The sequence below is a fragment of the Homo sapiens genome, chromosome 7, assembly GCF_000001405.40.
Source record: "Homo sapiens chromosome 7, GRCh38.p14 Primary Assembly".
Classification (NCBI taxonomy): Eukaryota; Metazoa; Chordata; class Mammalia; order Primates; family Hominidae; genus Homo; species Homo sapiens.
In genome coordinates, this window is record NC_000007.14 from 311,441 (window position 1) to 323,760 (window position 12,320).

General features: G+C 48.9%; 1 annotated feature.

Moving 5' to 3' along the window:
- Positions 10,744–10,993: a silencer, noted in NCBI's record as "silent region_17803". NCBI's record gives its function as "represses an Ori minimal core promoter by ATAC-STARR-seq in GM12878 lymphoblastoid cells {active_cell/tissue: GM12878}" and the evidence as "EXISTENCE:reporter gene assay evidence [ECO:0000049][PMID:35858748]".

Genomic DNA, 12,320 nt, shown 5'->3' on the forward strand with positions numbered 1-12,320 from the left:
CCCGCGCCGTGGTTCTCAACCAAAGATGGCATCTCCTCACCCCGGAAGGCCTTGGGAACGTGCTTGTATTTTTGGTGGTTGTGATGACTTGGGAGTATATTGACAAGCGTTGGGTGTGGACTGAGATGTTAAACACTCAGCAGTAAACGAGACCACCCCCGCCCCCCTCCTGGAGGAGGCAGCCTGGGAGCTGCATCTCAGGGCACAAATAGGGGTTAGCTGAGCTGAGAGGAGGAAAGATGCCCTCCCTAAGCAGAAGGGCTAATGTTTTGTTTTTTAGCAGACAAAGAACAGGGCAGAGAGCAGCTCCGGAGGCTGATAGAGAACTAGCAAGGAAGGCAGGTTTGACTGGGGGAGCTGAGGGTGCCCGGTTCTGGGTGGGGGAGCAGGGTGTGGTCAGGGTCTCTCCAGGCAGAGAGGGAACAAGGCCACTTCTCAAGATGCCAGCCTGCCCTACTGAGAGACACTGTCCAACGTGGCAGGTGCCAGGCAGGGGCGACAGTGAGGCTCCCAGGGAGAAGCCCCCACATCAGGGCTGGGCTTTGTTTCTGGCTGGGCACATTCAGAGTTCAAGTGCCCTGAAGTTTGTTAATAAGTGTTCTCTCTGCTTAATCTTAGCCAGAGTAGCTGCGTTGCTTGCAACCAAGTATCGTGACTGACACAAGTTCCAGCTTGTTCTTATAAACCCCAGATTGCTCACTGTTCTTATTGTTTTATGTAGCAAATACCTGGATAGCTGTTTCCAGATGTTTGCCATTTTCTTCACTCATACTTTGTTCTCAGGTCCCACTCCTTCCTTCTGGGATAGATTTCCTTCTTCCTGAATTAGATCCTTAAGTAGTTATTTCTGTTTGTGGTGATATCTCAGTCTTAGTCTGAAAAGTAATGTCTTCCTCCATCCTTCCCTCCCTCCTTCCCTCCTTCCTTCTCTTTCTTTGTTTCGATTCTAAAACAAGTATTGCGTTATCTCCTGGCATATATTGTGGTTATTTTAAAATTTGCTGTCTATCAATTGATCAGTCCTGACCATTACCATCTCGATATTTCCCACTGACATCTCATTATCAAAATTTCAAGCAGGAAGAATTGCGCAGTGAACAGCCATAGACCCACCACTTAGATTCTGCAACTGTTACCATTTCATTATATTTGCTTTACCACGTGACATGAACCATCTAATCATTCATCAACTTCAAAGTGAGTTGCTAACATCTGCGCAGTGAACAGCCATAGACCCGCCACTTAGATTCTGCAACTGTTACCACTTTGATATACTTGCTTTCTCACATGACATGAATCCATCTAATCTTTTATAAACTTCAAAGTGAGTTGCTCACACTGGTGCGCTTCACCCCTGAATATTTCAGCATGTGTATGACTAACTAGAGCTCGACAGTTGTTTGCAGAGTTTTACTTTTTTAGGTAAACTTTACCCGGAGTGGAATGCAGCCATTGTAAAGGTGCCATATTGTGCATTTGCATAAATGCCTGCAGTCGGTGGTCGGACCTGAAGGAAGAGAAAGACAATTTCCCCGACTCCAGAAAGTTGTCTCCTCAGTCAGCGCCGCGGGCAAACCTGTTCTGATGTTTTTCCCCACAGATGAGTTTTGTGTGTTGTAGAACTTCACACAATAGCTACTTCCTGGGACAGGGCTTTGAGACTTGTCTGGATCTACGCGTGCATCCGTACTCAGTTCCTTTCCATTGCCGAGTAGCGTTTTGCTCATTTATGTTGGCATTTTCTCTTTTTTATATTTGAGTTGTAGGACTTCTTTATACACTCCTGATAAAGTCCTACGGGTTTTGCACAACTTTTTCTCCCAGTCTGTGTCTTGCCGATTTATTTTCTTCATGGAATATTGACAAAAATAATTTTTAATTTGATAAAGTCTGATTTGTCAAAAATTTTTTCTCTGCCTTAAGAAACCTTCCCTATATCCAGGACATAAAGACATTACCCTGCACTTTTGTCTGGAGGCCTTACAGTTTTATATTTTACATTTGGTAATATCTCCACCTAGAATTAAGTTTTGGGTAATGGTGTCAGATAAGTGTCAAAGTTTTTTCCCCATAAAATCATCCTGGCACCGTTCGTTGAAAAGATTTTGTTTCCCCAATGAGATTGTTTTGATGTCTTTGCCGAAATCAATTTCCTATATGTGTGAGGGTCTATTTCTAAACTCTCTGTTCTATTCCATTGATCTATTTGCCTATCTTAACATAAATAGCACGGTATTTATAACTGTACCTTTACAATACATATTGAAATCAGGTACTGAGAGTCTTACAGCTTTTCTTTTTCAAAGTTGTTTGGGCTATTCTAGGTTCTTTGCAATTCCAAATAAATTGTATAATCAGTTTGTCAGTTTATACGAGAAAACCCGCTGGGACTATGATTAGGATTGTGTTGAAGCCATAAATCCGTTGTGGGAAAACTGACATCTTAGCACGTAGCTCAAATTTTTATAGTACTCTAAATGACGTTTTTAAATTTTCCATTTCTGATTATTTCTCAGTATGCAGATATAAAATTAATTTTTCTCTGCTGATTTTATATTTTTCCATCTCACTAAACTCACTTATCAGTTGTAATTGCTTTTTGTCGATTCCGTAAGATTCTCTACCTACAGCCCGTCTTCTGTGAATACAGGTTTACCGTTTCATTTCCAGTCTGGATGCTTTTCACTTATTTTCTTGCTCTACTGCCCTGGCTGGAGCCTCCAGGACCGTGTTGAATAGTAGGAGCAAGAGTAGACATCCTTACCTTGCTCCTGGTCTTAAGAGGGAAGCATTCGATCTTTATACCCGTTATAAAGTTTATAGGCCACAGGTTTTTATACATAGATACCCTTTATCAGGTTGAGCAACTTTCCTTCTATTCCTAGTTTACTGAGAGTTTTTACTGGGAATGGATGTGATATTTTGTCAAATGATTTTTCTGCACTTACTGAGATAATTATAGGGATATTCTTTTCTGCTTTACTAATATGCTTCATTACACTGATTATTTTGCAAATGTTAAATCATCCCTGAATTCCTGGAATAAGCTCCATTTGGCAATTATAGATATACATACATATATGTGTTTTTAGAAACAATGTTTTACTCTGTCATCCGGGCTGGAGTGCAGAGTATGGGGGCACGATCGTAGCTCAGCGTAACCTTGAACTCCTGGGCTCAAGTGTTCCTCCCACCTCAGCCTCCCCAGTAGCTGGGGCTACAGGTTTATGCCACCATGCCTTGTTAATTTTTTTAAAGAATTCTTTTCACACCAGGTCTCCCTGTGTTGCCCAGACTGGTCTCGAACGCCTGGCCTCAAAGTGATCCTCCTGCATCACCTTCCCAAGTAGCTGGGATTACAGGTGTGAGCCTGGCCCGGCTCTAGTAGACTTTTTATATGAGGAGTATTAGCCTTTAGTTTTCTTTTCTTCTTATGACTTTGACCTGTTTGGGTATTAAGGTAACGATGACTTTGTAGAATGAGCTAAGAAGTATTCCCAGCTTTTCAATTTCAAATGGGCCATTTTCAAGCCTTTATTTCTTTAAAAACATTTGCTGCCCCACCCCCTGCCTACTTTCGGGCACCCCAATTATACGTACATTAGTCTCCTTGAAGTGGCTTCTGCGCTCACTGATGCCCTGGTCATTTTCTCACTCTGTGTTTGCCGTGGTTTTACCTTAGATCGTTTCTATTGCTATGGCTGTAAGTCCACTAACCTTTTCTTCCGCAATGTCTCATCTGTTGTTACTATCATTTGTCGGTTTTTCATCTCAGGCATGATCATTTTCATCTCTGGAAGTGCAATTTGTGTTTTTTAATATCTTCCACATAACTACTGAACTTTTGGCGGGGGGCGCATAAAGCACAGTTATAATAAGTGTTTAGTGTCTTTGCCTGCTAATTCTAACACGTATTCAGTCTGGGCTGGTTTAGATTGAATAATTCGTCGTCTCACTCTGGGTCATGTTTTCCTGCTCCTTATGTGTGGTAATCTTTAATTAGATGATAGACATTGTGAATTTTTCTTGGTTGGATTCTGGGTATTTTTATATTTCTATAAATATTCTTGTGCTTTGTTTTGGGAAACTTCTCAGCCAATATCCCTTCAAATATTTCCCTTCCCTATTTTTCCCTGTGAAACCGCAGTTAGACATATTACAGCATTTTAACTGAAGTTACTTGGAAACAGTTTGATCCTGAGCAGGAAAGATCAGTGTTTGGTTTAGGGCCAAACAGTTCCCGCTATGGAAGTGAGACTCCTCTGTGCTCTCTGCCCAGTGAGCCATGAACACACGAGGCTTCCGGTCTGGCTGGTGGGAACAGGCACTATTCCCTTCTCCTGTGTGGGCACCAGGAACTGGTGCCACTAATCCTTTCAGGTGGTTCTCTCTGAAGCCGTGGGTACTCTCCTCACATAAAAATAACGCTGATGAATATTTAGCTGAATATTCAAGCGGCGGGGGTTTCCTCAGCAGATACCAGAACTCGCCTGTGCCCCTCTGCCCTCTCCTTCACTCTGTCCTGTGAACTCTCCCGTCTTAGTTTGTTCTTCCTGAACCCTCAGTTCTGTGTCCAAACTCCAGGAGTCTGCTGGGCTCCCCTGGATTCCGCCTCCCTGAGCCATGTCCTGAGAACGTCTTCAAGGCAGTAAGCCGGGGCGGCTGTAGGGCTCACCTTGCTGTTCCCATCGCTCAGAGATCATTATACTTTGTTACTTGATGTCTCGTTTCTTGAAAGCTCTTGTTTCACATAGTCTGTCTGGTTTGGGTTATTTTAGGTAGAAGGGTAAATCCAGGTCCTGTTACTCCATGTTGGCCAGAAGCAAAGGTCTCCAGCTGCCTTTTTCTAAATCATCTTTGCCTTTAGTTTTCTTCTCTTTCATTACAACGTGCCATGTGAGAATTCATTTTTTTTTTTTTTTTTTTTTGAGACGGAGTCTCACTCTGTCGCCCAGGCTGGAGTGCAGTGGTGCGATCTAGGCTCACTGCAAGCTCCGCCTCCTGGGTTCACACCATTCTCCTGCCTCAGCCTCTGGAGTAGCTGGGACTACAGGCACCTGACACCACGCCCGGCTAATATTTTGTATTTTTAGTAGAGACAGGGTTTCACCATTTTAGCCAGGATGGTCTCGATCTCCTGACCTTGTGATCCACCCGCCTTGGCCTCCCAAAGTGCTGGGATTACAGGCGTGAGCCACTGCACCCGGCCAGAATTCATTTTTATTCAACCTGCTCAGGACTTAGGATTTTGCATCTGGAGATGCATGACTTCCATCAGTCCTGGAAATCTCTCAGCCATTATCTCTTCAAATGTCTCCCTTCCCTGATTTTCCCTGTGGAACTCCAATTAGACACATATTACAACATTGTAATCTTTCAGGTAGATAGATCTGGGAAAGGAGACGTTTAAAGAGATAATGGTTGAGAGATTAACTTCCACAAAGATTAACTTCCAAAACAATAGCTATTTATCTATCTGTCTCAATCTTGGTAATTGATTCAGATCTATCTTATGAACTCTCAGTAGCTGTATCTACATTGTTTTAATTTCAGTGACTGTATTTTTCATTTTTAGGAGATTTTTTGTTGTTGTGGTTCTTTTCCAAATTTGCCTGGTTTTGTTCCATTGTTTGCTGATCTTTACTCATTTTTTAAGATAGCTTCTTTCCATGTTTTTAATTGTTTGACAATTTTTAATGCTGTGTATTTGATGACTCTTTTGTCTGAATTTCTTGAAGACATCGTCTTGCTGCCACACTGCTTTGCATACTTTGCATTTCTTCTTTGCAGGGTGTATAGGTTTCTCCTGTGAGTTCGTGGTCTGTAGTTTTATCTGGAAATCCTGCGTGGCCGCTGTTGAGGGTGTGTCCCCAGGGTGGTTTGCAATTTGCTGTTGAGGGTGTGTCCCCAGAGTGGTTTGCAATTTGCTCCTGCCAGAGGCCCCCAGGGATTTCCAGGCTCATCCCACTTTTCCCCCAGTTCCTCATTTGGGCATTCCCTGGCCTCATGGTGGTGTATTTTCTCAGCCTGACCACACTGCGGGCAGTTTTATTGTTATAATTCTTAGCAGAAACTTTCTTCCCACGAGAGCTCAGACTAAAACAAACAAGCTCCTCTAGCGCCTGGGCTCCATGCGAGGGTCACGGTTCTAACCCCCGGCTTGTGTGAGTCCAAGGTCTCATCTTTTTTCCATTGACGGGCATTGAAGCACAAGCCCGCTCACACACCTCCCGCGGCCGTTTTCAGCTTGGACTTTTCCTAGTTTCTCAAAGCGCAGGTCTGCATTTGAAAGGGATCTGCCATGTTTTGGGATCTTTCTAAGGGATTTACTAAGTGATTAGTCAGACGTCCTTTTGGGGCAGTCCACAGCATTGCTTACACCAGATATAACCCCATTTTACAGGTAAGCAGACTGAGGCCACAAGCCCTCCCCAGTGACACAGGCTAACACGTGCGGAGCCTTGGATGACAAGGAAACTTGCTCTCGTGGAGACAGCAGAGATGCCTCAGTCAACAGCAGGGAGGCAGGACACGCACATTCTGACGGCACACCCTTCCCCGATCTGCACCAGATGAAACGCAGAGAAACTCCAGTAACTTCCAAAACGATAGCTAACCAGGAACCAAGGATTACCGCTACACCCGGCCCACCCGAATACACCCTGAATTCCCTCTGTGCAGATCCCAGGACTTCTACGTTCTATTTCTGGCATTCTGGGATTCAGCCCGTTGACAAACCTGCCCCAGGCCAGGCCCAGCCAGGCAGGTCCTGAGAACAGGGTGCCACTGTGCCTGCGGGCAGCCCGCCGTCAGCTGGGAGGGATGGAGAAGCAGCAACTGCACCGGACATCTGCCAGGCAGTGTCGACGGCCACAGGGCACGGGGGCCAGCCAGACGTTATGAGACAGAATCAGCACCCTGTTTATTTGAAGCCACCTTTTCTCTCTAAAGGATAACCAATTTGGTCTAAGTTTCTTAGATGATAGAGTAAAAGGTGAAAACCCCATGTATCCTCCCTTTGTATGCGTCAGCTCTTGCCATGACAATGCAGGGGAAAAGCCACCCAGCACCCAGCGGCTCTGGCAGGAGTAACCGCTGGTCAGGGCAGGCGCAGCCAGTGGCCATTCACAGGCTTGGGCAGCAGTAACCACCAGTCAGGGTAGACACAGCCAGTGTCTATTCACGGGGAGCTGAGCTGTGCTTTGCCTTGTGGGTTGGGCTCAGCCATCTGTGCTTTTTTCTGGGGCTCAGGCTCAGGTGGCAGCTACCCAGGGGGACGCTTGTTCCAGGCGGGTCAGGAGAGGTTCTGGAGTGCAGCCCTCACAGCGTACACAGCAGCTCAGCACTGAAGCCCCATGTTCAAACAGGTTCCACGCCAAGCCCAGTGTCAGGGAGTGGGGACGTGCCCTCCTTCCACAAGAGGGTGGGGATGAACGTTCTTTAATAACAGTTTTATCCACCTCACCTGCCTCCCTTCAACCCCAAACCCCAAAGGCAGCTGCCCTGAGCACCAGCGTGTGCCCTCTGCACACTCGTTTCTCTGCAGACGCAGACCTCGCATTCTAGTTTTTGTCACACAGATTGGATCCCGCTCTGTGTACCATTCTGCCTTTTCCTCACCAGTAATCCCTCCCAGGTATTCGAGTCAATATTTGCCGAGCTCTATTTCCCCAGCTCTGTGCTTGTGATCTTGCCAAAAAGGGTCAGGCGTAGCCTCTGATCTCTGGAAACGTGCACCCAGCATGCGTCTCTCTGCTTGTCTGAGCTGGCTTCCCTGAGAGAATCTGAGAACATTTTGGGATAACAGCACCCTCCTGTTTATTGCCTGATACCACATGAGCTCTCAGTCAGCCTGGGAGGTCAATCCCACAGGTTAGCCCTATTTTTGGCGAGGGCACATGGATGCTAGAGAAGTGGCCAAGATCACAGAGCAGCTGAGAGGCTAAGTTTAGTCCAGCCCCAACCCGGGCAGCTGCAGAGCCATGTTCTTGACCCCTCTCCACGCCCAGGGTTGGATGGTGCTGGAAGCGGATGATCTTCCTGATTCCAGGTGGTTCGTGGAGCAAGAGGGGCAGCCATGAGCACTCGGAGATCAGCAGGGAGAAGGCTGAGGTCACAGGGATCCCCTGTTACAAGGGTCAGGGGAACTTGGCTCAACATCACAGGTTCTGGGGGAGGGCAACGGTGGCGCAGGATTGGGGTGAGGGTTTTTGCCAAGGAATGCAGGAGATGAGAAGAGCAGGAGTGTGGGATGGGTCACCCACAGCCTCCCCCTTCTCCCCACTACCTATCTATAAGTTATCACTGGCTCACACACAGAGGATGCTGTGGCAGAGAAGGAACTCACGCCCTGCCCAGACAGCTGCCCCTTGCTTGAGAGCACTGTTTGCTGAGCACTGTAGAACTTTATGCAGAGCCCAGGTAACTTCAGCCAGAGAGGGAATGCGATTTAAAATCTGGCCTAGACTCAACAGTAAAAAGACAAATAATTCAACTTGAAAATGGGCAAAGGATTTGATAGACATTTCTCCATAAAAGATTGGCCACTAAGCACCTGAAAAGATCATCAATGTCACTAAATTATTAGGGAAACACAAATGAAATCCACAATGAGACTCCACTCCACACCCACTAGGATGGTTATAATTTTTTTAAATGGGAAATAACAAGCGTTGATGAGGATATAGAGAGACTGGGACCCTCATACCCTGCTTGTGGAACATAAAATGGTGCTGCCACTTTGAAAAACAGTTTGGCATTTTCTCAAAAAGGCAAACATAATTACTGTAAGACTCAGAAATTCCAATCCTAGGTATACACCCAAAGGAACTGAAACAGGAACTCAGAGAGATACTAGGATACAAAGGTTCACAGCAGCATCACTCACAACAGCCACAAAGTGGAAGCAACCCACCTGTCCATCAACAGATAAATGGAGAAACAAAGTGTGGTTTGTCCATGCCGTGGAATATTATTCAGCCATGAAAAGGAATGAAGCACAGACCCAGACCATAACCTGGACAGCCTCAAAGTCACCCTGCTCAGGGAAAGAAGCCAGGCACAGCAGGCCACTGTTTCCATGATTGCATTTGTATGAAATGTGCAGAATGGGCAAATCCACAGGGAGGGAGAGCAGATGGGCGTTGCCAGGAGCTGGGGGAGGGACACTTATGAGGGACAGCTAACAGGTACAGGGTTTCTTTTTATGGTGATGCAGATGTTCTGGGATTAGGTAGTGGTGATGGCTGTACAATATTGTAAATCTACTGAAAACAGCTGGCTTGTACACCTTAAAATGGTAATTTTCTGTTACAGGAACTGTGTCTTTTTTTTTTTTGGATGGGGTTTCACTCTGTCACCAGGCTGGAGTGTGGTGGTGCAATCTTGGCTCACTGCAATCTCCGCTTCCTGAGTTCAAGTGATTCTCCTGCCTCAGCCTCCAGAGTAGCTGGGATTACAAGCACACCAGCACACCCAGCTAATTTTTTTTTTGTATTTTTAGTAGAGACAGGGTTTCACCATGTTGGCCAGGATGGTCTCGATCTCCTGACCCCGTGATCTGCCCGCCTCGGCCTTTCCCAAAATGCTGGGATTACAGGCGTGAGCCACCGCACCTGGCCCTGTGTCTTCGTTTTAAAATGGCACACACACAGTCTGGCCCAGGATGAATCCTGCAGCCCCTTCCTGCTGGGTAAGACAGAGCACTTCAACTCTCTCTGAGCCTTCAGCTTCCTTGTGCCTGAAATAGGGGCAATAGTGCCTGACTCACAGGCTGTTACGCCAATTAAGCGAGATAAGGAGAGAAACACCCAGGACTATTGTGCTGAATTAATGAGATCATGCAAACAATGTAACCCCGGGATCGAAAATAGGGCCATTTAAAAACGTCACTTGGCCCTGTTCCCATCACACCTGTGGGTGACTTGGCTTGACACCTGGCAGTGGGCCATAACCTCCCTGGATCTCTCCCCAAAGCAAATCCTTCAGCCTCTGTGCTGAAGTCCTAACAGCCTGGCCCTAAGCCCCTTTGCCCAGGACACTCACCTGAAGCCAGCATGTCCCTACCCACTCCAGCCAGGCCTGCAGGGAGGGTGGGACTTCTGAAACCACATCATGTCACACTCCTTTTCCCCGCAGCCCCCTTTAGGAAACCCTGCCAGGTACCTAGAATAAAGTCCACGTCTTTATGGCCCACAGAGCTCTGGGATCGCCCTCCTCCACCTGCCCCAGGCCTCGGCAGCAACCGGCTTCATGCATCACTCCACACCCAGCCCACCCAGCCACAGCAGCGCCCATGGGACAAGCCCAGGCTGTGGCCTTCCGGCTTTGCTGTGTTTTCCACTGCACTTCCCGCTGTGGGAAGTAGCTATGCCATGCTTTCTGATGTTAGGCTGCGTTCATTGCATGACAGTTTTGTGTGCCTGTTTCCTTGTTTGCCCCACAGGCTCCATCCACAGACCAGGCGGCGAGTGGTCAGCGCACGGGAGGACTGCCCTTGGGAAGCGCCGCCAAGGCCTTTCTAGCCTCAGTTTCCCAGCTGGAAAACGAGGGGTGCGGGCCCCTCATGCGCAGCCCCTCCTAGCTCTCGAGGTGCAGCGCGGGACTCCCTAGCCCAGGTGGCGATGTGCTTGTCATAAGCCCCTCTCCCTGTCTGGCCACGGAAGCCGAGGCCTGACCGGACGCTGAGGAGTGGGCAGCTTTCCCGTCATCCCACCCTTTCCAGATCTGTCCCCTAAAGCCGGACGTCCGCGCCCGCCCAGCAGCCGCCTTCCAGGAGCTCGGTGCACCTGCTGTCCCGCAGGTGAGGCCGAGGCTGCACGGCCGCGCCACGCCACCAGGTGGCAGCAGAGCGCCAGGGATGGGCCGGGCCGCGGGCTGGGCCAGGCGCAGAGGGCGGTGATCCGGGCCCCGCCCCAACCCCCGGCCACGCCCCCCGAGGCCCAGGCCCCGCCCCCGCCGCCCCGCAGACCCAGGTCTGGGGTCCAGGCCTGCAGCCCGACGCCCCGAAAGAGAGCAGCGCCCTGGACGGAGCGGGGTTGGGGTGGCAGTGGGAGGGCTCCACCAAGAAGGCTGGCTCTGTAAGCCCCTGACACCCATCTTCTCGCGCAGTCACTCCCACAGCCACCCTGTAAGAGGGGCTGAAACGCGGGGAACGCTTGCAGAGCAGCTGTCCTGGTGCTCAGCGAGACAGTGACCTGCTCAGCCCCTGGCGTCCAGTCCGGCTGCCCTCAGGCCCCTCCCTACCCCATCTTTTCTCAAATGCCCTTTAGGGCCTCTGCACCAAATTGAAGCCGAGTGGTCTCTGGATTCACTCCTGTCCTGACCTAGGAGGGGTCTTGCCCAGACCCCAGGCCTGGGGCCTTGCTGGGGCCAGGAGGGCAAGGCGGGGAGGGGGCCCAGGGATGTTGAGCAGGAGACAGACCCAGGCCAGAGGTTTGCTGAGGACAGAGGGGCAAGGAAGGGCCCCAGGGACCCTAAGCAGTTGCCCCCTGGAAAAGACCCCACCCAGGGCCCTTGCTGAGGACAGAGGGCAGGGGACAGGGGGCTCAGGGACCCTGAGCAGCTGCCAGGAGAGGGACCCAGGAAGTCCGGCCTCTCAAACTGAGGTGCCATCCACTCCCCTTGAGGGAGGCTCGGAGTCGGGAAATCCAGGCAGGTGGGAAGGCGCCCCCCTAGTGTCTTCTTCCTCCGCTGTGCTAGTTACATAAAAATTATGGAAGACCATGGTTTTGAACTAAGCGCCTGCTCTGGGTAAAAATCAAATGCAGTCACCCATGGTCAGGCTGTCTGTCACCAAACCCAACCGAAGTTGTCATCTGACCTTCCAAAAAATCAAGAGAGGGCGATTGGCCAGACACGGCGGCTCACACCTGTCATCCCAGCACTTTGGGAGCCTGAGGCAGGAGGATGGCTTGAGCTCAGGAGTCTGAGACCAGCCTGGGCAACACAGTGGAACCCTGTCTCTATAAAAATAATAAATTATTTTAAAAAACAAAAAAGAAAGAAAGAAAAGGAGAGAGAGAGAGAATGGCCAATTTCCCAAACAGGCCGGTTCCAGTCTTCAATCAGTGTGGAATGAAGTTCCCTCTGCTTTAATCCTTAGCCTGAAGTCACCCGATGTGAGACAATCGATTGGTTGTTTTTGTATTTTTCTGCTCCCTGTCCCCGCCCTGCAGGGACAGTAACTTTGAAACGACCCCTCCGCCTGTGTTCTTTGCCTCTGCTTTCTTCTAGGAAGCCCTTTCCATCTGTAAAGCCGCCCCCTCTGCTCAGCTCGAGGAAGCACTAGTTCTGTTTTACAGAGGGACACATTGCCCGAT